This window comes from Homo sapiens, chromosome X, assembly GCF_000001405.40.
Source record: "Homo sapiens chromosome X, GRCh38.p14 Primary Assembly".
NCBI lineage: Eukaryota > Metazoa > Chordata > Mammalia > Primates > Hominidae > Homo > Homo sapiens.
The window spans coordinates 152,672,950-152,698,753 of record NC_000023.11 but is presented as its reverse complement, the minus strand read 5'-3'; the positions used below and the strand labels follow the sequence as shown (position 1 = coordinate 152,698,753).

Genomic DNA, 25,804 nt, shown 5'->3' with positions numbered 1-25,804 from the left:
TCGCGGTCTTCTGACCTCCAATGCGCAAGTCAGTGGCGTCACATCCTGGCAACGGTACTACCCTGGGTTCCGGGCAGGGGTGGAACTGGATTCTGCCTGGATGGGGATCGGATGGGGGTGGAGGTAAGCATGAAGATGGTGATGGGGCAAGGGGTAAGGATTGGGACGGGGGTCCTGAGGCTGTAGATCCTGGTGGGGTCGGGGGAGTTGGGGGTGGGTGGGCGGGGCCTTCGGTCATCCCTCAGGGTCCTGAAGTTGATGCCTGGCTGAGCCTGGACCGCCATCCTCTGCAGATTGCTTCTGCTCCCCTCAGACCAAGTCTCTGACTCTGAGTCCCCCTGAAGTGGCATTGGGGGAAGGGGTGTGGTCTGGGTGACATCACTGCCTGCGTTTACCAGGGCTGACAAGAGGGGCTGAGCTGGATTCTGTGGTCCCTCTATGGTGTGTGGGGTGGGGGGGCGGTGTGGACCCTCAGTCCTCACTCAGGAGGGTCGTCTTCGTCACCTCTGGCTGTTGGATGAAGTGATGGGCAGGAGATGCTCTGTTTCTGTCACCTGTGAGCATTTGCACAGCTGCACCCCTTGTAGAGAATGCCTGCGGGTCCCAGGCCAGGTGCTCCCTGCAGGGCGGGGCGGCAGCTCCCGCGGTTGTAGTGACCTCCTATTTCAGTCTTTGTGTTCTGTTGAAAGAATTTTTTTTTTTTAAAAATGTAATTCCTCTGCCACTATGGTGGTTTCAGGTTGTTATTAGCAGAACTCTGGAGTCATACTGCCTTAACCAACCAAATTTTCCTGGTGTCCTGCTATTACCTAGGGCTCTTGGCATCGTGTTTTCAGAGGCTGCCTCAGATTGTGCAAAGAAGTGAAGTGGAAAATTTCAAACTTTTATTCTACCCATTCTGTCATCTACCGTGTAGGCCGGCTACAAACCTCCCCAACATCCCTGCTGCTAACCCCCTCCAACCAACACTGCAAGTGTCAAACACAAGTACCAGCTCAACACAGCCTTGAGTCTCACCCTGGGCTTTCCCTGTTTTGTTGCGTAGATTTTGTTGCTGATACTGGTTTTTTATTTACTGTTTCCATTCTGTAATTTTCCAGGTTTGATTTGGGAAGCAGAGCACAGCAGCCCAAATTTGTTGTAATGGCGGCGGCTACAGGTAAGGCACTAAATTGTAAATAATTTAAGCTGAGTTTACATTTTTACAGTGTTGTGCTCCCCATGAATGAATATGTTATACTCCTCTATGTATTTCAAGCTTTTTTTTACCTGAATATGTCAGTATACTTCGACAGTTGTCTCTATAAAGACCTTATACATTTTTATTAGACTTCTTTTCAGGCAATTCATGAATTTTGTTGCTATTGCAAATGGCATATTGTCTATTAATTGTTGTAGTTAGTTATTGCTTTCGTGAGGTGAAGATTTTGATTTTGCTGTAGTAATCTGTTGCACTCCTCGTTCTGAAGGCCGATGCACTTGAATATTCCACATACCTTTTCCTTTGAATTTTCAAGATCGATAATGGTATTATCACTAAACATTACATATTCTTCCAGTATTCATACCACTTACTCATTTTGGTACTTATAGCTCTTTGTGTCTCAATCCTGATTTCAATCGTAGAGATAATAGCCTACATCTACTTCTCGTTCCTGACGTGAATGATAATTATTCGAACGTTTTGCATTTAAGTATGTTTGCTGTTGATTTTAGGAAGTGCAATTTCTCTTTGAATATAGGTTAAATACTTTTTTTTTTTTTACCATGAACTCATATTAAATTTCTTTAAAAAGCTTTTTCTGTACCCGTTGACACAATCAAATTTTTTTCTCCTCCATTTTGTATGTAAGGAATTACAATGAAACCGTTTTTTTTTTTTCCCCTAATGTTAAACCGTATGTTATTTCCTTGGGCAGAGCCTGTTTATTTAATATGCTAGTAATTTACGTAGGATATTTGCTGCTATGTAAGGGAGCTTACTTAATGTGTGCTTTTTTTCCCATCAAGGGTGGGATGTGGTCCTCATCTGGTTTTTGAATCCAGGAGGGCTAGTCTGGAAGAATGAATTGAACAATTGTAAATATTTTGTATGTTCTAGAAGAGATGAGATAAGATGGTGGTTAGTTTTCCCTGATCATTTGGTAGAATTGGCCTCCAATACTGCCTAACCTGGAATGTTTGAAGGTGGCTTGAGCTTTGAACATTGTACAGTTTCAGTTTTTATAGTTTAATTAAAGTTTTCTTTTTCTTTTTGGATCAGTTTGGTTACTGGTTTATTTTATTTCTACAAAGTGGTCAGTTTCATTTAGGATTTCACTTTTAATGGCATATTTATTATAAAAAAAGTTTTACTAGGGAAAGCCTTCACACATACAGAATAATAGGAACTAATGTAATGAACCCAGGATACTAGATACCCAGCATGAACAACTTTAAATACACAGCAAATCTGGTTCCAGTTAGACACTTGCCTACCTGCACATCAGCTTCTGGAATAACGTGGAGCGAATCTAAGGCATTAGACCATTTCATCTCGAAATAACTCAATATGCATTTTTAAAAGATAAGGACGTTTTATTAAACAGAATCCCAATAGTTTTCATATCTGAAAAATTATATAAATGATTATCAAATATTCAACTATTTTACATGCTTATCTGGCCGACTTATACTTTATAAAAAACATATTTCTTTGATGGAGTACCCAAATATGGTAACTTTCCCGCCACTTGCTTCACTGTAGTGGTTTCATACATGTATAATACAGCTAGGTTTGTGTGTGTGTGTAACATTCTACATTCTGTCCCATGATTCTCCAACTTCTTAAGTTACTTTTAGACTTTACATACATTAAGCTTCACTCTTTGTGCTGTAAAGATCTATGGGTTTTGACAAATGCCTCGTGCCGTTGTCTTAGTCCCTTTGGGCTTCCATAACAAAAATAGTGTAGACTGGGTGGCTTATAAACAACACAACTTTATTTCTCACATTCTAGAGGTTGGGAAGTCCAAGATCAAGGTGCTGGCAGATTTCATGTCTGATGGAGACCTGCTCCCTAGTTCATAGACAGTTGCCTTTCCCCTATGTCCTCACATGGAAGAAGGGGCAAGGGATCTCTGTGGAGTCTATTTTATAAAAACACTGATCCCATTCATGAGGACTCTGCTCTCATGAACTAGTCATTCTCCAAATACCCCACCTTCTACCTAATACCATCACCTTGGTATTTCAGCAGATGAAGTTTGTGGGAACACAAATATTCAGATGAAAGCAAGCATGCATCCACCATTACAGTATTACCATACTAGTTTCACTGCCCTGATAAATCCCCTGTGCTTGTCAGATAACCCCCTTGGCTGCCACTGATAGGTGTTTCATCTTTATAATTTTGCCTTTTCCTGAATGTCATATAAATAGACTCGCATACTATGTAGCCTTTTTAGACTGGTTTCTTTCACCTAGCATAATGAACTGAAGAGTCATGTATAACTTTGTGTGGCTCAGAACTTATTCCTTTTCATTGAGGAGTAGTAGTATCATTGTCTGGTTGTACCATAGTGCGTGTGTATATATATATCCATCCACCAAATGAAATACATTTTGGATGCTTCTATTTTTGGTGATTATGAAATAATCTTTTGTATACAATCGTATACAAATTTTTATGTAGACGTAAGTTTTCACGTCAATTGGGTAAATTGATTATGACTGCTGAATCTTATGCTGTGTTCAGTTTTTTAAGAAAACGCCAAATTGTCTTCCAAAGTGGCTGTACCATGTTGCATTTCCACCAGCAATGAATGAGAGTTTCTGTTGCTCCACATCTTCCCTGGCAATTGATCTTGGTTTTCTTTTCTTTTTTTTTTTTTTTTTGCTTTTTTATGGATTTTGGACATTCTAATAGGTGTGTAGTGGTATCTCATTTTAGTACACAGTTATCTAATGAGAACGGATTCTCAGTACTTTTTTATGCTTATTTGCCATGTGTATATCTTCTTTTGTGAGGAGTGTGTTCAGATCTTTGCCTATTTTCATGTTTTTTCTGTCGTTGAACTTTAAGAATTCGTGTATGTTGTAGAGATATGTTCTTTATCACATATGTGTACCACCGATGTTTTCTGCTAGTCTGTGGCTTCTGTTTTCATTCTCTTAACATTGTCCTTTGAAGAGCACATGATGTTTATTTTAATAAAATCTACTTGGTAAATTTTTCTTTCATTGATCATGCTTTTGGTGTTGAATTTAAAAACTCACCACTGAACTCAAAGTTATGTGAATTTTCTCTTATGTTTTCTTATAGAGGGTTGTATAGTTTTTGCATTTTGCATTAGGTCTGTGATTTATATCGAGTTAATTTTTCTGGAATATGTAAGGATGTTTCTAGGTTATTATAATTTGCCTGTAGATGTCTAATTGTTCAGGCACCTTTTGCTGGAAAAACTGTACTTTCACCATTATTGCCTTTGTTGTGAATCACCTGACTATAAGTGTGCAGGTCTATTTCTGAGCTCTATTCTGTTTTATTAATCTATGTGTGCATTCTTTGCTAATGCTTATGTCCTCCACCAAATTCATACTTTGAAGCCCTCAGCCCCGGGGTGTCTGCATTTGGAGATGAGGCCTCTAAGGAAGTAATTAATATTAAAAGAGGTCATAAGGGTGGGGCCTTGATCCCATAGGATTAGTATGGTTATAAGCAGTTAGAAGAGACAGAAGAAATTACTTGTGTGCCTGCACTAGCTCTCTCTCTCTCTCTCTCTCTGCACATGCACAGAGGAAAGGCCAAGAACGGATATATTGAGAAAGGGCTATCTACAAGCCAGGAATAAGGCCGTCACCAGAAACCAACCCTGCCAGTCCTTGATCTGGGACTTCCATACTTCAAAACTGTGAAAAAAAATAAATTTGTTTTGTTTCAGCTACTCAGTCCATGGCATTTTGTTAGGGCAGCCTGAGCTTACTAAGACATAACCTCAGGTAACACAATTTTTTTTTGTTTTCTCCTACAGAAAAAAAAAAAACCCATAATTTTGACATTTAAGTCTGTGGTTCATTTTGAGTTACATTTTTGTATGGTGTAAGATATGTGCGATGGTTAGTATTATGTGTCAACTTGTCTAGGCTATAGTGCTCAGCCGTGTGGTCAAACAGTAGTCTAGATGTTGTTGTGAAGGTATTTTGTAGTTGTGATTGACATTTACCATCAGTTGACTTTAAGGGAAGCAGTTTAATCTCCATAATGTGGATGGGCCTCATCCAGTTAGTTGAAGGTGTTAAGAGAAAAGACTAAGGTTTCCTGGAAAAGGAATTCTACCGCAAGACTAACATAAAAATGTTGTGTGAGTTTCTAGCCTGCTGGCCTGCCTCACAGATTTGGGATATACAAGACCTCATAATCACATGAGATAATTCCTTATGAAACCTTTATCTTTCTTTCTCTCCCTCCCTTTTTACATAGATAGATATGTAGGTAGGTAGCTAGATAGATAGATAGACAGGAAGAAAGCAATTACGGATTGAAATTCAGTTTTGCATATAGATATCCAGTTGTTCTAGACCCAGTTGAATACACTATCATTTCTCTCCTCGAATCTTCATTTGTATCTTTATCAATATTTGACTTATATATATATGCATATACATGTGGATCCATTCCTGGACTTTACTCTCTTCTTTTTATGTGTTTCTAAATTTAGGACAATTCCACACTATACTGATTATTGTTAGTTAATAAACCTTCAAATGAAGTAGGGGAACCCCTCTGTATTTATTCCTTTTCACACAGCTGATAAAGCATACCAGAGACTGGGAATGTTACAAAAGAAAGATGTTTATTGGACTTGCAGTTCCACGTGGCTGGGTAGGCCTCACAATCATGGTGGAAGGCAAGGAGGAGCAAGTCACGTCTTACATGGATGGCGGCAGACAAAGAGAGAGAGAGCTTGTACAGGGAAACTGCCGTTTTTAAAACCATCAGATCTCTTGAGACTTATTCACTATCACGAGAACAGTATGGGAAAGACCCAACCCCATGATTCAATTATCTCCCACTGGGTCCCTCCCACAACATGTGGGAATATTGGGAGCTACAAGATGAGATTTGTGTGGGGACACAGAGCCAAACAATATCATTCCACATGTGGCCCCTCCCAAATCTCATGTCTTCACCTTTCAAAACCAATCCTGCCTTCCCAACAGTCCCCCAAAGTCTTAACTCATTTCAGCGTTAACGCAAAAGCCCACAGTCCAAATCTTGAGAAGTTGTCAAAGGACACTCAGTTTTCTTCAGTTAATAATGTAAAAGGACTGCACTGACGTGGTTAAATTCCCAGGACTCTCAGTTCTTTAGGAATGGACTAAATATCTGGTATCGTCACTTACAAAAGTGTCTTGAACTTGATATAGTTTATGTTCAGAAATTGGTTCATATTTTTTATTTTTATCTTTTAATTCAATTTTTTTTCATGAGCTTTTTGAAGGCCCCCGGATATGCACCCTGTATAAAGGAGAAAAATTCTCGGGACTACTAATTTTGACCGAAATTATTGTTGATTTAATTTATACAAACACAAAAGGTGATACAAACATTTTTATAGCACCTAATGAACATATTTGTGAAATAAATGCATTCAAAAACAAACTAAAACAGAAAAGAATAAAAATATACAATAAAATAGTACACAGCAGGTTGCTGATTGTGGTGACCTCTGAGGTGCGGGCTGAATTGTGGAGGAACTTTATACAGAGAAGAATTGTGAATTATCTGTATTTTAGATTTCTTTTGCAACAAGAATATAGGCACAATTATCTTTTAAATTACAATATCTAAATAAGCCTAACAGCAAAAATAGTAGCTGTGTATTAGTCAGTTAAAGTAACTGAAGTAACTGCTAGCTGATGCAATAGGCAAACCCTGGAATTTGAGTGACATGACAAAACACAAGTTTATTTAATGTGCACATGAGTCCTGATGTGGTTTGACAGGGCCTCTCCACTCTCCCGTGACCCAGGTATCCAGGCAGCTTCCACCTCGGGATTCCACCACCTCAACATGAGGCTGCCATGTTTACTATTAGATGGAGGGAGAAAGCATGGAAATGGCACACTGGCTCTCAGATGTCTAGATGTGACAAACAATGCTTCTGCTCATGTTTCAGTGGTAAGGGGTTGTCACATGACCCTTCCTAACTACAAGTGGACTGTACTGTTCCCATGTATCCAGGAAAGAGAGGAAGATGAGATGTGGGTGAGCACTATAGTCTCTCCCATAAACTGTTGCATAGTAGGTGCTCAACAAAAAGGAACTATTATTATTTGCTATGACAACAGCCCTCTTCATTGCTGGGAGGAGTTTCGGAGAAAACCAGATTTTCTTTACGTTCTCCAACTTTTTTTAAGTGTGTACTGTATGACAGATGCTTTCAAATACAGGATCACATGTAGTTTTCTAAGGATCCAGTATACCTCAGCACCTCGTGTGATATACTAACTTCTTCACTCACTAGTATAGTTAGATATACTAACTATCTTCACTTACTAACACTTTTCTGCACTGTCATTTGCAATAATGTCTGAAACCTTAGTAGGCTGAGAATTTCTCATTCTTTTAATTCATGGGTAAAACCTCAACCTGTGGGTCTCTGCTACCCTCCTGTTACCTGAACGTCTGTTCAGATGCCATTAGACACATTGAAAGCTATGTCTTTCCTGTGGGGCAGATCCACAGACCAGAAGTAGTGCCAAGAGAGTTCTTTTTTTCATTTCTGATTTTTTTTCCATTTCTAATCAGAGCTAGCATGCCTACCGAGGAACCACTTTTCGTCTCCTAGGAGAACTTTAGGGTTTTAGGAATTCAGCTTCAGTAGATATTTGCCCCACAGTGATTTTGACAGTCCTTCCTCATCTGTCACTTATGAAGGAGATGCTGTGAACTGAACTGTGCCCCCACCCCCACCAAAACTCATATGTTGAAACCCTAAGACCCAGTGTGATGTATCTGTAGATGAGGCCTTTGGACGTAATTAGAGTTAGATGAGGTCATTAAGGTGGAACCTTCGTGATGGGATTACCGCTCTTATAAGAGACATCAGAGAGCTTGCTCGCATTCTCTCCTTCTGCCATGTGCAGACACACAGAGAAGGTAGCTGTCTACAAGCCAGGAAGAGACCCTCACCAGGCATCAAACCTGCTAGAACCTTGATCTCAAACTTCCCAGCCTCCAGAAATGCGAGAAACATCTACCTATTTGTTTAAGCCACCCAGTGGTACTTTGTTATGGTACTTTGTTATGGCAGCCTGAGCTAATACAAGAGGCTTTGGCTTTTGACCATCTATGTATGTGCTCTGTGGCCAGTTTCCAATGAGACAGCTTATTAAAGTCCTATTGTAAATATAGGATGGTTTCAAACACTTTCTAACTTCAGGGTTGTATCCCAGGAACTGATATATTATAAGTCAAAATCAGACGCTACTCACCAGCTGACTTGGAAAACATTTTAAGAATGTGTTGAAGACATCCAACAGGATGATCAGATGTCTAAAGGTCTCTATTCAAAGTCAAATGTATTTTTGCTATTAGAGGGGCCCCAGTGTGAGGAACAGGGACAGTCAGGGGACTTCTCCAGAAAGTAGAACTGTTCTATGTTAGGAGAAGGGCAGGTGACTCTTGGCTGTCCCACTGGAAGTAGGGCACAGCCTTTAAAGGATGCAACCATGAAGAGCTTAGCAGCAAGCTCGATTCCAGAATTGGACAGGCAGGCACATGGGGCAAGACCATTGTGGAAGGGTGCTATAATTCGGGAAAGTGCTGGGAATGCACAGAAATGCTGGCACCTGGACAGAGTTGGCTCTCAAGGAACCACAGACGATTCCTAAATTGTGTTGGTTCTCATTGTCACCTTCCTTCATGTCTTAGTCATTTCATGCTGCTGTAACAAAATGCTATAGACTGGGGGTCTTACACAACAGATGCTTATTTTCTCCCAGTTCTGGAGGCTGGGAAGCCAAAAGTCAGAATGCCAGTATGGTGGGTGTCTGGTGAGGGTCTTCTTTCTGGCTTATGGATGCCCACCTTCTCTGTGAGTCCTCACATGGCAGAGAGAGAAAGAGAAAAATGTGCAAGCTCTCTGGCATTTCTTCCTATAAGGACACTGATATGGTCTGGATCAGTGTCCCCACCAAATCTCACGCTGAATTGTAATCCACAGTGTTGGAGGTGGGGCCTGGTGGGAGGTGATTGGATCATGGGGGCAGATTTCTCATTAATAGTTTAGTACCATCACCTTGGTACTGTGCTCATGATAGTGAGTGATTTCTCACGACATACGGTCATATAATAGTGTGTGGCAATGCCCCCCCCGTCTCTCTTGCTCCTGCTTTCACCAAGTGAAGAGCCTGCTCCTTCTTTGCCTACTGCCATAAGTAAAAGCTCCCTAAGGCCTCTCCAGAAGCAGATGCTGCCACGCTTCCTGTACATCCTGCAAACCGTAAGCCAATTAAACCTATTTTTTTTAATAAATTACCCAGTCTCAGGTATTTTTTTATAGCAACGCAAGAATGAACGAATACAGACATTAATCCAATCATGAGGGCCTACGCTCTCAGGAGCTCATCTAACCCTAATTACCTCCCAAAGGCCCCATCTCCAGACCATCACATTGGGACTTAGAGCTTCAACATATACATTTTTTTTTTTTTTTGGAGGGGAGCACATTTCAGTCCATAGCACTTCTATAGGCATACTTTTTGTAGCTTGACCACAGGGTCCTTCTTTTGGTTGCCTGAGAGACGTGGATTCCTGAGAAGTAAATAGCAAGACGAAGGTCTGCTTCAGGTTGGGACGAGAAGGAATGACATACACTCAGATGAATTCGGACCATGTGTATTAGTTTGCTTTGGCTATCATAACAAGGTACCACAGACTGGGGGAGCTTAAGCGTCAGAAATGTATTTTCCCAGTCCCGGAGGCTACAAGTTCAGGCTCAAGGTGTGGGCAGGGTTGAGTTGTCCTGAGGCCTGTCTCCTTGACTTGTAGATGGCCATTCTCTTCCTGTGTCTTCACATGGTCTTTCCTCTGTGTGTGTCTGTGTCCTAATGTCCTCTTCTTATAAGGACACCAGTCATATTGGATTGGGGCCCATCCTAATCTAGCAGGGATGCAATCCCAACCGTGTTGCTTATTAGCCATGTAATTATGGGGAAATCATCAAGCCGCATGAGCATCAGGTTCTTCATCTGTGAAGCAGGTTTGATAAAGTCTGTCTTATAGGACTTTTGGAGTGTGTGCAATGTAAGTAAAGCACTTGGCTCAGGGCCTGGCATATATTAGATCGTTAATGTTTGGCAGTTATTTGTGTTACTATTTGGAACTCAGATCCTACCATAGTTGCCTCTGGGAATTTTGTTGTTGCTGTTGTTATTGTTATCTAGGAAACCTCAGAGTACGTAGCACAACAGTACAGAGAATAGAATACCAACTCAGCCCAAAGTGTTGCTTCATAGACAAAACACAGTAGAATTTCCCTCCTAGAGGATCTATTGTTTAATTTGTGTGTGGAGGAGTCTTCTTCAGCTGGATTGCAGCTCAGTGTTCCTGGAACGTGAGTCCAGGACCAACTCTTTTCCTCCCTCTCAGCTGCTTTTCCATCTCAACCACTATTTTCATTCATATAATCACCACGCAAAATCTAGCCCATGCTCAGGAATGGCCAAATTACACTTGAGATAACCTAATTAGAATGCCATTTGACTAGAGTCAGCTCTAGCTCTCCCACTAAGGCAGAAGAGTACCTTGCCAGTGGCTTCTGGGCCTCCCTTCCTGAGAGATTCACCCTTACCTCCCAGGAAACCCTTGCAGATGATGAGTATCCATCACCTAGCTCTTGGGCTGTATTCAACCGCACTGGGATAAGAGCACAGGATGCCTTCCATTCCTGCCCCAGGTGGAAACTCGTCTATGTTCATCCACCAACCATAATGAACTGCTCAGAGCAGTTTTCCATTCCAGGCTTTTCTCTCCCTGAGAATCTGACCCTGGACCCACCAGCTTCATTAGAATCAGCTTCCTCCGAAGGAACTGCAGTTTCCCAAAGCCCAAAAGGCCCTGGCTCAGGGCATTTACACTCCACCACTCTCACCGGGAGCACCACACATTCTGCCCTCTCTTACTTTTCCTCTAGGTCTTAGAGGAAATCTCACCAACTTAATTTTATGACTATAGCTCCTAGACTCTACCACCCTTCGGGTAGGGGTGGGTCTGACTTATGCCAGTATCTCCAGTAACACAGTGCTTTCCAAAGAGCAGATGCTCAGTGAGTGTTTGAGAAAGAATGAGCCAGTGACCAGGACTTCCATTTAAGATATAATTTCTCCTACATCCTTGAATAAGCCAAGAAAATCCAGGTACACATATATGGCTTAATTTTATAGAACAGCACATGAATAAAAAGCTGAGAATTAACTGTCTTTTCCTTTTATTTCTATTTTTTAGAGTAAAGTGAGAGCAAGTTTATTAAGAAAGTAAAGAAATAAAAGAATGGCTACTCCATAGCCCTGAGGGCTGCTGGTCGCCTTCTTATTTTTATTTTTATTTTTATTTTTTTTTGAGACAGAGTCTCACTCTGTCGCCCAGGCTGCAGTGCAGTGGCGTGATCTCGGCTCACTGCAAGCTCCGCCTCCCTGGTTCATGCCATTCTCCTGCCCCATTCTCCCAAGTAGCTGGACTGCAGGTGCCTGCCACCATGCCCGGCAAATTTTTTGTATTTTTAGTAGAGACAGAGTTTCACTGTGGTAGCCAGGATGCTGTCGATCTCCTGACCTCGTGATCCACCCCCTTTGGCCTCCCAAAGTGCTAGGATTACAGGCGTGAGCCATGGCGCCCGGCTGGTTGCCCATTTTTATGGTTATTTCTTGATTATATGCTAAACAAGGGGTGGACTATTCATGAGTTTTCCAGGAAAAAAGTGGGGAATTCTTGGAACTGAGGGCTCCTCCCCTTTTTCAGCCATATAGGGTAACTTCCAAACGTTGCCATGGCATCTGTAAACTGTCGTGGTGCCGGTGGGAGTGTCTTTTAGCATGCTAATGCATATAATGAGCAGTGAGGATGACCAGAGGTCACTCTCATTGCCATCTTGGCTTTGGTGGGTTTTGGCTGGCTTCTTTACTGCAACCCGTTTTATCAGCAAGGTCTTTATGACCTGTATCTTGTGCCGACATACTGTCTCATCCTGTGACTAAGAATGCCTTACCTCCTGGGAATGTAGCCCAGTAGGTCTCAGCCCTATTTTACCCAGACCCTGTTCAAGATGGAGTTGCTCTGGTTCAAACACCTCTGACATTTCCCTCCTCCCTTTTATCTGAGAACCTTTATTCCTAAGGGTTGTAGAGGGATGAAGATCCATCTTCTGTAACTTCTTCAGGCTGAATAGGGGTGATGATATTACTGCCTAATTATGAGAGTCTTTTGAATTCAGGACAGAGAGGAGCTCAGTCAGAAAGCGTCAGTTTGGTGAGGGTCATACACAACTCTGAGTTCTGACAAAACATGTTATCTGGAAGATTAATAAGTGTTCAGTTTAAGAAAACATTGAGTAAGCTTATCCTGCACTCCTGCACCAAGAATACAACACCAGTGTATTCCACAACAGTAAAGCAAAATAAGTAAAATTATCCCAAGGTAAACTAAGTAAGAAGGCTTTCCTTGAACTGGGCAACTGTTAGAACCAGGCTGATACGGGGTCACTATCTGATTTCAATATGTGCCCAGAACTAGAATATTGATCCAGATTTTTACATTACCCATCCCTCTTGCTTCTTCTAAATAGCAGTCAGGGATCACTGATTGGTTCACAGGAATAAGAAAAGTGAGTCTAAATTGCAGAAAAAAACTTTAAAACAACGAATGAAACTAGAATCTAATAACAGGTGCACCATAGTTTTTGCAACATCATATTTTTTTCTCTCTCCAGTCTCCCATTTTTACTAAAGACAAATCATGGTAAGACTGGTTTGTTTTATTATACTTGGCCTGATCATTTGTATAAAGTGCAGCAAGAATAATTATTTTTCACATACGCTCTTTATATTTTTATTTTTATTTTATGTTTTAATAGAGGCAGTCTCCCAATGTTGCCCAGTCTGGTCTCGAACTCCTGGGCTCAAGCAGTCCTCCTGCCTCAGCCTCCCAAAGTGCTGGGACTGCAGGCATGAGCCACCACGCCCAGCCTCACATAAGCTCTTTTAAAACTGGCTTTGATGGGCCGGGCATGGTGGCTCACGCCTGTAATCCCAGCACTTTGGGAGGCTGAGGTGGGCGGATCACCTGAGGTCAGGAGTTCAAGACCAGCCAGGCCAACATGTTGAAACCCCATCTCTACTAAAAGAAAAAAAAAATTATATATATATATATACACACACACACACACACACACACACACACACAGACACACACACACACATATATACACATATATATGTGTGTATATATATATATGTGTGTGTGTGTATATATATATATATATATATATAAGATTAGCCGAGCGTAGTGGTGGGTGCCTGTAATCCCAGCTACTCGGGAGGCTGAGGCAAGAGAATCGCTTGAACCCAGGAGGCGGAGGTTGCAGTGAGCCAAGATCACCCTCCTGCACTCCAGCCTGGGCAGCAAGAGCAAAACTCGGTCTCGAAAATAAATAAATAAATAAATAAATAAATAAATAAATAAATAAATAAATGAAAATAAAAAATAAAAATAAATGGCTTTCATGGAGCTCTGTTCCATAGAAGGAATCTCAGATAAGACCTTTTTAAAGCTGAGTCCAGCCTGGGGTGGGTGCCGTCAAATACCTCTGAGTTGGGTAAAATCCTCTCCTCTTGAGGTCCCAAGATAACTTGGGGCTCCTGGGCCTGTCAGATAATGACATTCTTTACTTACCACAGGTCAGTAACCCTGCACAGGGACTGTGTAGACAAGTTATGAGGCTAGTTTTCCCAAGGGGTTTTTATTGGCTCTATAAGTCAAGTTTGATCCCTTAAAGGAAAGAACACCATTCCAGTCAAAGCCTTGGTAAAATAACCAGTTTCTCCAATTGTGTCTTGTTGCAAAAGAAAACAGATTCTTATTGCACTTATGCAAATAACTATATTGCTATAAGTTAAGAATATTCACAAGCAGTTTCCAAATTCTAGAGAAATTAGGTAGAGAGAAACAAATATGCTCTGAATTTTGTTCACAGAAGTATACTTTACTGAATTGTTAAAAGCTGTCAATAGCCCAGAAGAAAAGTTTTCCTGACTCCAAAGTCTGCCAGTCAGTGCTGCCGTCTATTTCCTTTGGGTCAGGGGGTTTCCTCAGTATTGTCCCTTCAGGGTTCACCGGAAAGATGTTACTGGAATGGGGTCCCAGTGCAGACTCCAAAAGAGGGTTCTTGGAGCTCGTGCAAGAAAGAATTCGAGGTGAATCCATAGAGTAAAGTGAGAGCAAGTTTATTAAGAAAGTAAATAAAAGAATAGCTACTCTACGGGCAGAGCAGCCTATCTTTTCCTTTTATTTCTCTGTTTCATGACCCCATCAATTTTTTTGCTAATGTATTTCATTCTCCAAGGAAACACCTATTCCAATGCCATGGCATCTTGTTCCAAACCGCAAAACCAGATGAAGGGCTTCCCAATATGTTTTACAAAATAGCAAACTCATCCAAATAGAACAGAACACAAAGACATTATACACTGAGTTCCCTTCCACCCACCGTGCCTTTCACTAGTGAGAACGCTGACTGCTCTCTTTAGAGTGAAGAATGGGCCTCATGTCACACAGGGTGGGGAAGCTGCTGGATGTAGCCCTGGAACGTGCACTAGTCCACCCCACCCTCCACTGGCCCTGGCTGCATCGCCTGCTGAAACTCTCTCTTCCTCATAGCATGCAGGATCACTTCTGGGCACCTGCCAGTACTCCAGGTAATTTTCCTGCACCCAATCCCGGGTGAGCAGCTTCCTGGGCTCCCCATAGATGAAGTGCTCCCTCCCAGCATACACCTCTATCACATTCAGGGCTTCCCACATAACCTCCTCTGGGGCGCAGTTGCCCTCCGTGAAGATCACACACAGGACAATTATTAGGAGGCCCGTCTTGGGCTTGCTCGGGTCATCAACCAGCATGCCATCATAGGAGAGGCCCAGAGAGGTGACAAGGACATAGGAATGGCCGGTGGGGACCACTTCCTTCACGTCGATGCCAAAGATCAGCTGCATGTACTCGGAGGATTCCTTGAAAATGAAAGCGAAGTAGTCTTCGTGATTTTTGATGACACTATCCACCATTTCTGCCTTTGTGACTGACTCCTTAATTCGAAACTTGTGGAGCAGGACACTAACTAAATCAGACACCTTGTCAGAGTGCCTCTCGGAGGAAGGACTCCATGACACTTGGGATGGGCAAGGTGATTGGCTCCTCCTTTTCTTGGCTGCTGGAGCCCTCATCGGATTGGTTCCATAGAGTGTTATCGATGGTAGTGGGGGAGGAGGAGGCTCCCTGCATACTCTGGGGAGGACTCAGTGCCTCAGCAGCACACAACTCCTCCAGGGTGCCCATGATCAGACTAGAGGAGGAAGAGGCAGCCTCCTCCTCCTCAGGCACAGGACCCTGCCCACCCACCAGGCCAGGGACCTCTCCTTGGGCCTCAAGGCCTTCCTCAGGCATGTAGTGCTGACTCCTCTGTCCAAGAGGCATGATGACTCTGGTCAAGGCAGCAAGCGGGAGTGTGGGCAGGAGCTGGGTAATGGGGATGCACAGGCCTGGGGAGAGAGGGAGCGTGTGAGAGGCCTCAGCTAAGAACCAGACTTTGGAGGAGGCTCTAACAAAGGCCTACTTACGGATCTTCTCCTTCAGTGCTCCTCTGGGGCCTCCTGGGGCTCCTGTCCTCCTGGTCAGCCTGTCCCCTGAGAATCTGAAGAAAGAAGTGACACAGCTTCTCAGGTTACAGCCAGCCAGCAGAGGCCAAGGCCCCAAGGCTGAGGGTAGGGCAGGTGGGGCTGGGCGCTCTGGGGTCCCATCCATTATGGGTGGGTGGGACCCTTGGTATACATTCAGGGTGAACACCTCACCTTGACTGCTGGCACTGCCTGGGTCTCCTCTGCTCTGTGGCTTGAGGACACTGACTCAGACTAAAGCCTCACCTCCAAGTTCCTGGAGCTCCTGGAAGAGGGATCAAGGGGCCCTCAGGGTGCAGGCTGCAAGCACAGCCTCAGTCCCCCGAGTGCTGTCAGGAGGGTGGGCTGGACTCTGTCAGTTCCCTCACTCTTTTGCATAGATGGCCCCTTCTATGCTCACTCAGGACCTTCACGTTTCTCCTAGCAGGGCCTGAATCCTGCCCCTTTGCTGGCCTGAGAAACTCTCAGATCAAGAGCTCATATCCCTGATATGGAACAGAAGGACATGAGGGGACCCACATCTGGCCACACCTGCTCAGGGCTTCCAGGCAAGGACAGTAAGAGGTGGCCATATTCAGCTGGGTCCATGTGTCCTGAGATGAGGAACCTGCTTGGTCCACATCTTGATGCCTGCAGATCCTGGGACTCTCCCTGTTTACCTGAGGCCACCACCTTAAATCAAATCCCTATCTCCAAGAGACACCAGTAAAGGAAGTGAGGGGATTCCATCCACCCACTGTTCCCTGCAGTTTCCCATGCCTGACAGAAAAGGCAGGGCAGGGCTGGGTCATGTGCATTCGCCGTGTGGGGTCCACTTAGTCCTCACCTTGACTCCTGGCTGAGCCTGGGACCCTCCCTCTGACCTAAATGCAGCCCCTCCAACCAAGGCCTCCCCCTCCCTGAGACCACTGATCCTGGTATAAGAGAGGGGGCCTCAACTGACAGCTCTGGCCATGCTCTCTGCGGAAACAGCAGGGGCAAGGCAGATTTCTGTGGGGCCTCCATCTGCCTTCTGGTCCAGCGGTACCCTTAATCCTCCCTCAGGTTCCTCACCTGGGGTCTTAGCAGATCCTGGGTCCGCTCTGTCTGTTAATCAGATGGGGGTCCCTGTGTTGGCCTGAGTAACCCACTGAGAACTAGGTCCTCACCTCCCTGAGATCCCAAAGCCGACATGAGGAGGACTCACATCCCGTCACCCCTCCATGGGGTGTCCAGGGCTGACACCAGGGGCTGCCCCCTTCTGTTCTGGGGTGGAAGTTCCAAAGTTCTCCTGTGGGTTATTCATCTTTACTCCTGCCGGGACCTGCCGTTCCTCAACCCTCAGCCCCCTGAGATGAGCAGACATCTCCCCTTTACACCAAGACCACATCTCCCTGAGGGTTCTCCAACTTCCTGCCCGTGGCACAAGTGAGATTGCCACTTAGGGCCACCCTGGATCAGGTCCCCCCAGAGCTAAGAACAAGGACAGCAGACTCTGCGGGGTCTCTTCTTTCTGGGCTGGGGGTACCTCCAGTCCTCATGAAAGGTGCACACCGTGGGTCCTGCAGATGCTGGGACTCCTCCCTCTGCTGACCAGGTGTGGCTCCCTCTACTGGCCTGTCAGTGTCACTGGGACCAAGGTCCTCACCTCCCTGAGACCTCCCACCTCCAACCACATGGCAGAAATGAGAGCATGCCACATGCCATCCCTGCCTGTGGCCTCCCAGGGCTGAGAACAGGGGAAGCTGGGCGGCTCTGCAAGTTCCCTTCTTCTTTATGATGTGGAGGTAACTTCTTACCTTCAGTCCTTACCAAACTTCCTCCCCTTCACTCCTGGAAGACCCTGGACTCTATCCGGTGCTGACCAGGTGTGGCTACCTCTGCTGAGCGGAGGACGCCCCTCAGACCAAGGCCCCCACCTCACTGAGACCCGGGAGGTAGAGGTGAGGGGGCACCACACGGTCACCCCTGCGTGGGATTCCCAAAGCTGACAGAAGGTGCAAGTTTCAGGGGGCCCTCCGCTGTCTGGGTGTCTTCCAGGTGTTCAGATTGAGTCCCGACAGGGCCCGGCTCTTTCCCTCCTGCTGAACTGTATGCCAAGGCCACCATGTCCCTGATACCCTCAGGGAGAAAGTGGTGGGACAGCATCCCTTCCCCACAGTCCTGCCCAGGCCTCCCAGGACTGACAGTAGGGGCAGGTTTCCTAAGTCTGGGAAGAAAGGTCTTCTGAGTCATCCTTCAGAGCTCTGGGACTCCTCTCTCTGCTGACCTGAGGCCCCACTCCCCAGACCACAGTCCTCTCCTCCCTGACACCCCAAAGGCACAGCGAGTCCAGGCCACATGTGGCCACTGTGCCTGGGACCTCCCAGGGTCGAGGTCCCCACTGATCTGGACTCCAAGTTCCCGTCAGTCCTCCCTCTTCTTCCTGCCCTTGACTCCTGGCAGGCTTGGGCCCCACCCCAGCCTGCTGACCTGAGTCTTCATCCCTCAGATTCCCAAGGCCAAATGAGGAGGCACCTCAGTCTCAAACAGGGGGTGGGTGGGCCCCCTGTCCTGGGGTCCTGGGTGCCCTCGGGCCTCTCTCAGGCCTCCCTTGTCTCCCAGCAGGGCCTGGGCCCTCCCTCTGCTCCCCGCAATCCGTGCTCATGATATGAAGCCCCTTCCCTCCGTCAGCCCTGGATGCCCATGCCAGGATCCACATGCCTGGCCACCATGCCTGGAAATTCCCAGGGCTGACAGCAAGGACAGAGCCCCGCTCTGTGGAGCCCTCAACCCTCTCTGAGGGTCCTGAACGTGATGGCTGGCAGAGCCTGGCTGCTGCCCTCTCCTAGGCAGCCCTGCCCTGATCACACCAACCTCTGACTCCAGAGTCCCCTGAGGCTTAAGTGGCAGAGAGTTGGGGGCGGCCCAGCCTGAGAAGTCCGCCCCCGGGTGGTCCTGGGTTGGCAGCAGGGGTGGTGCTGGATTTTTTAGGGTCCTCTATCTTGGGTTGCAACGGGGTGTCCCTAGTCCTCCCTCAACGCCTCACCTTTCCTTCACACACAGCCCGGGCCCGCTTTCCTCCGCCGATCTTAAGCCACCCCTCAAAACCAGGCCCTCGCTTCCCTCTGATCCCTGAGGCGCAAATCAGTGGCATCACATCCGGGCACCCGGGGCTTCCCTGCGTTGACAGCAGGGGCAAAACCTGATTCTGTCGGGGTGGGGGTGGGGATGGGAATGGGAATGGAGGAGGGGTGGGGGCGAGGATGGGGGTGAAGATGGGGATGGGGATGGGGATCCTGAGGCTGTAGGTCGTGGCGGTGACGGTGGGCTTGGGGGTGAGGGAGGCCCTCAGTCGTTCCTCAGGGTCCTCACCTTGAAACCTGGCAGAACCTGGGCCCTGCCCTCTCCTAACCACCCCTGCCTTGGTCACACCAAGCTCTGACTCCAGAGTCCCCTGTGGCATAAGCGGCGGGGGTTGGCAGGGCGCCGGGGGGTGGCCCAGACTGAGAAGTACTCCCCTAGGTGGTCCAGGGCTGGCAGCAGGGGTGACGCTGAATTATTTGGGGTCCTCTATCTGGGGTGGAGGCGTCCTCAGTCCTCCCTCAGCCTCTCACCTTGTCTTCTCACAGAGCCTGGGTCCACTTCCCTCTGCCAATCTCAAGCCGCCCCTCAGACCGAGACCCTCGCTTCTCTGACCCCCTAGCCGTCACATCCGGCCACCAAGCCTGGGGCTTCCTTGGGTTGACTGCTGGTGTCATAGCAGATTCTGCTATGAGTGGGGGTGGAAATGGGGGTGGGGGTGGGGGGTCGAGGTCGAGGGGGTGGGCACTCTCAGTCATCCTCAAGGTCCTGACCTTGATGCCTGGCAGAGCCTGGATCCCATCCTGTGTGGATGGTGTCTGCTCCCCTCAGACCAAAGCACTGACTCCGAGTCCCCTGAGGTGGCAGTGGAGGGAGGGATATGGTCGGGGCGACAACATTGTCAGGGTCTTCCAGGGCTGACAGGAGGGGCTGAACTGGATTCTGTGGTCCCTCTATGTGGGGTGAGTGGACCCTCAATCCTTACTCAGGAGGGTTCTCCTCTTGGCTCCTGGCTCTTTGATGAAGTGATGGGTGGGGGATGCTCTGTTTCTGTCACCTCTGAGTATTCGCCCAGCTGTACCCCTTGCAGAGAATGGCTGCGGGTCCCAGGCCAGGTGCTCCCTGGGGAGCTGCAGTGCCTGCGATTGTAGTGGCCTCTGGGAGAAGACACACACCTTCCCACGGGGGCTCTTCCCCAGCCAGATGCTGGGAAGAAACTGCATCAACTAACGAGCAAAATAACCAGGTAGCATCATAATGACAGGATGAGATTCACACATAACAATATTAACCTTAAATGTAAATGGGCTAAATGCTCCAGTGAAAAGACACAGACTGGCAAATTGGATAAAGAGTCAGGACCCATCTGTGTGCTGTATTCAGGAGACCCATCTCACATGTAGAGACACACATAGGCTCGAAATAAAGGGATGGAGGAAGATCTACCAAACAAATGGAAAACAAAAAAAGGTAGGGGTTGCAATCCTAGTCTCTGACAAAACGGACTTTAAACCAACAAAGATCAAAAGAGACAAAGAAGGCTATTACATAATGGTAAAGGGATCCAGTCAATAAGAAGAGCTAACTATCCTAAATATATATGCACCCAATACAGGAGCACCCAGATTCATAAAGCAAGCCCTTAGAGACCTACAAAGAGACTTAGACTTCCACACAATAATAATGGGAGACTTTAACACCCCACTGTCAACATTAGACAGATCAATGAGACAGAAAGTTAACAAGGATATCCAGGAATTGAACTCAGCTCTGCACCAAGCGGACCTAAAAGACATCTACAGAACACTCCACCCCAAATCAACAGAATATACATTCTTCTCAGCACCACATCGCACTTGTTCCAAAATTGACCATATAGTTGGAAGTAAAGCACTCCTCAGCAAATGTAAAAGAACAGAAATGATAACAAACTGTCTCTCAGACCACAGTGCAATCAAACTAGAACTCAGGATTAAGAAACTCACTCAAAAACCACACAACTACATGGAAACTGAACAACCTGCTCCTGAATGACTACTGGGTACATAACGAAATGAAGGCAGAAAGAAAGATGTTCCTTGAAACCAATCAGAACAAAGACACAACATACCAGACTCTCTGGGACACATTTAAAGCAGTGTGTAGAGAGAAATTTATAGCACTAAATGCCCACAAGAGAAAGCAGGAAAGATCTAAAATTGACACCCTAACATCACAATTAAAAGAAATAGAGAAGTAAGAGCAAACACATTCAAAAGCTAGCAGAAGGCAAGAAATAACTAAGATCAGAGCAGAACTGAAGGAGATAGAGACACAAAAAACCCTTCAAAAAATCAATGAATCCAGGAGCTGGTTTTTTGAAAAGATCAATAAAATTGATATACCGCTAGGAAGACTAATAAAAAAGAAAAGGGAGAAGAATAAAATGGACGCAATAAAAATGATAAAGGGGATATCACCACCGACCCCACAGAAATACAAACTACCATCAGAGAATACTATAAACACCTCTATGCAAACAAACCAGAAAATCTAGAAGAAATGGATAAATTCCTGGACACATACACCCTCCCAAGACTAAACCAGGAAAAAGTTGAATCCCTAAATAGACCAATAACAGGCTCTGAAATTGAGGCAATAATTAATAGCCTACCAACGAAAAAAAGTCCAGGACCAGACGGATTCACAGCCAAATTCTACCAGAGGTACAAGGAGGACCTGGTACCATTCCTTCTGAAACTATTCCAATCAATAGAAAAAGAGGGAATCCTCCCTAACTCATTTTATGAGGCCAGCATCATCCTGATACCAAAGCCTGGCAGAGGCACAATAAAAAAAGAGAATTTTAGACCAATATCCCTGATGAATATTGATGCAACAATTCTCAATAAAATACTGGCAAACCGAATCCAGCAGCACCTCAAAAAGCTTATCCACCATCATCAAGTGGGCTTCATCCCAGGGATGCAAGACTGGTTCAACATACACAAATCAATAAACGTAATCCATCATATAAACAGAACCAAAGACAAAAACCACATGATTATCCCAATAGATGTAGAAAAGGCCTTCGACAAAATTCAACAGCCCTTCATGCTAAAAACTCTCAATAAATTAGGTATTGATTGGACATATCTCAAAATAATAAGAGCTATTTATGACAAGCCCACAGCCAATATCATACTGAATGGGCAAAAACTGGAAGCATTCCCTTTGAAAACCAGCACAAGACAGGGATGCCCTCTCTCACCACTCCTGTTCAACATAGTGTTGGAAGTTCTGGCCAGGGCAATCAGGCAGGAGAAAGGAATAAAGGATATTCAATTAGGAAAAGAGGAAGTCAAATTGTCCCTGTTTCGGGATGACATGATTGTATATTTAGAAAACCCCATCGTCTCAGCCCAAAATCTCCTTAAGCTGATAAGCAACTTCAGCAAAGTCTCAGGATACAAAATCAATGTGCAAAAATCACAAGCATTCTTATACACCAATAACAGACAAACAGAGAGCCAAATCATGAGTGAACTCCCATTCAGAATTGCTTCAAAGAGAATAAAATACCTAAGAATCCAACTTACAAGGGATGTAAAGGACCTCTTGAAGGAGAACTACAAACCACTGCTCAACGAATTAAAAGAGGACACAAACAAATGGAAGAACATTCCATGCTCATGGGTAGGAAGAATCAATATAGTGAAAATGGTCATAGTGCCCAAGGTAATTTATAGATCCAATGCCATCCGCATCAAGCTACCAATGACTTTCTTCACAGAATTGGAAACAACTACTTTAAAGTTCATATGGAACCAAAAATAACCTGCATTGCCAAGACAATCCTAAGCCAAAAGAACAAAGCTGGAGGCATCACGCTACCTGACTTCAAACTATACTACAAGGCTACAGTAACCAAAACAGCATGGTACTGGTACCAAAACAGAGATATAGACCAATGGAACAGAAGAGAGCCCTCAGAAATAATACCACACACCTACAACCATCTGATCTTTGACAAACCTGACAAAAACAAGAAATGGGGAAAGGATTCCCTATTTAATAAATGGTGCTGGGAAAACTGGCTAGCAATAAGTAGAAAGCTGAAACTGGATCCCTTCCTTACACTTTAGACAAAAATTAATTCAAGATGGATTAAAGACTTAAATGTTAGACCTAAAACCATAAAAACCCTAGAAGAAAACCTAGGCAATATCATTCAGGACATAGGCATGGGCAAGGACTTCATGTCTAAAACACCAAAAGCAATGGCAACAAAAGCCAAAATTGACAAATGGGATCTAATTAAACTAAAGAGCTTCTGCACAGCAAAAGGAACTACCATCAGAGTGAACAGGCAACCTACAGGATGGGAGAAAATTTTTGCAATCTACTCATCTGAGAAAGGGCTAATATCCAGAATCTACAAAGAACTCAAACAAATTTACACGAAAAAAACAAACAACCCCATCAAAAAGTGGTCGAAGGATATGGACAGATACTTCTCAAAAGAAGACATTTATGCAGCCAAGAGACACATGAAAAAATGCTCATCATCACTGGCCATCAGAGAAATGCAAATCAAAACCACAATGAGATACCATCTCACACCTTTTAGAATGGTGATCATTAAAAAGTCAGGAAACAACAGGTGCTGGACAGGATGTGGAGAAATGGGAACACTTTTAGCCTGTTGGTGGGACTGTAAACTAGTTCAACCATTGTGGAAGACAGTGTGGCAATTCCTCAAGGACCTAGAACTAGAAATATTACTTGACCCAGCCATCCCATTACTGGGTATATACCCAAAGGATTATAAATCATGCTGCTATAAAGACACATGCACTCACATGTTTATTGTGGCACTATTCACAATAGCAAAGACTTAGAACCAACCGAAATGTCCATCAGTGTTAGACTGGATTAAGAAAATGTGGCACATATACACCATGGAATACTATGCAGCCATAAAAAATGATGAGTTCATGTCCTTTGTAGGCACATGGATGAAGCTGGAAGCCATCATTCTCAGCAAACTATCGCAAGGACAAAAAACCAAACACCGCATGTTCTCACTCATAGGTGGGAATTGAACAATCAGAACACTTGGACACAGGAAGGGGAACAGCATACACTGGGGACTGTTGTGGGGTGGGGGGAGTGGGGAGGGATAGCATTAGGAGATATACCTAATGTAAATGACCAGTTAATGGGTGCAGCACACCAACATGGCACATGTATACATACGTAACAAACCTGCACGTTGTGCACATGTACCCTAGAACTTAAAGTATAATAAAAAAACACAAAAAATTTAAAAAAAAAGAAATGAGGACTGCAATAATCAAGAGGATCTTCTTGCTATTTTATTATGAATACACTTGTCAGCAAAAATGCCTTTGAGTTTAATCCAAGTTGTGTGTATCTTTCTTTCTTTTTCTTTCTTTTTTTTTCTTTTTTTTGCTAAATAGTATACAATTGTTCAGATGCAGCACAGCTTGTTTAGCCAATACCCATGGAAGGATATTTGGGTTGTTTGCAGATTTTGGGCAAATATGAATAGAACTTTTATAAAAATTCAGGTGTAGGCTTTTTTGTGAACAAACGTTGTTATTTCTCCCAGGATTGGCATTGCTGAGTCATGTAAGTGTATGTTTTTGGGAAATTACCAAATCATCTTCTGCAATGGCTATGACATTTTACATTCCCACAGTAATGTATGAGTTTCAAGTTGTTCTTTATCCTTACTAGCACTTAGTAATGTCAATTTTTTAATTTTAATCATTTTCCAATGTGTGTAGTGTTATCTCATTTTGATTTCAATTGACATTTTTCTGATGGTTAATGATGTAAAACAATTTTTATGTGCTTATTTGCTATTATATGCTCACTTTGGTGAAGTACTTATTGAGGTATTTTGCCCCTTATCAAAACTGGGTTAGACCGGGCATGGTGGCTCACGCCTGTAATCCCAGCACTTTGGGATGCTGAGGCGGGTGGATCATGAGGTCAGGAATTCGAGACCAGCCTGACCAATATGGTGAAACCCCGTCTCTACTAAAAAATACAAAAGGTAGTCAGGCATGGTGTCACGCACCTATACTCAGGAGGCTGAGGCAGGAGAATCGCTTGAACCCGGGAGGCGGAGGTTGCAGTGAGCCGAGACTGTGCCACTCCAGCCTGGGTGACAGAGCAAGACTCTGTCTAAAAAAAAAAAAAAAAAAAAAAAAAAAAAAAAAAAAAAAAAAAAGAGTGAGACTGTGTCTCAAAAACAACAAACAGCAACAAAAAAACTGTGTCATGTGTTTTTTAATTGTTAAATTTTGAGAGCTCATTATGTATTCTAGACACAAATCCTTTGTTGGATATACGATTTGCAAATATTTACTTCTTGTCCGTTGCTGGCTTTTTGACTTTTTATTGTCTTTCTAAGAGTGAAAGTTTTTAATTTTGAGAAATTCTAATTTATTTGCTTCCTCTATGAATCCTACTTTTGTTGTCATGTTCAAGACCTCTTTGCCTAGTCCAGGTCATGAGATTTTCTGCAATGCTTTCTTTAAAAATGTTGTTCTTTTTCATTTAACATTTAGGTCTATGATACATTTTTTACACCTGGATATCTAATTGTTCCAATATCATTTATTGAAAAGACCAACATTTGTCAATTGAATTACTTTAGGTCTTGGTAAAACTCTACAGGCCATACTTATGTGGGTGTACTTCTGGGCTCTCTACTCAGTTTCATTGATCTGTGTCCATGCCTTGACTGACACCACAAGGTCTTGATTACTACAGGCTTATCTTAAAATCAGGTGGTATAATTCTGCTAAACTTCCAAATTTAT

The 25,804-nt window shown here is 44.4% G+C and overlaps 1 long non-coding RNA gene and 1 pseudogene across 3 annotated transcripts in view; one reads left to right on the top strand and one right to left on the bottom strand.

Annotated features, from left to right (window-relative positions):
- MAGEA3-DT (MAGEA3 divergent transcript) overlaps positions 27 to 25,804 on the top strand; it is a 144,351-nt gene continuing 118,573 nt past the window's right edge. For all 3 annotated transcript variants that reach the window (XR_938525.3, XR_001755976.2, XR_001755975.2), the window contains exons 1-2: positions 27 to 123; positions 1,101 to 1,159. This is a non-coding gene — a long non-coding RNA (MAGEA3 divergent transcript). The remainder of the gene's footprint in view (positions 124 to 1,100; positions 1,160 to 25,804) is intronic.
- On the bottom strand, positions 14,911 to 15,808 carry LOC100420250 (MAGE family member A4 pseudogene; annotated as a pseudogene).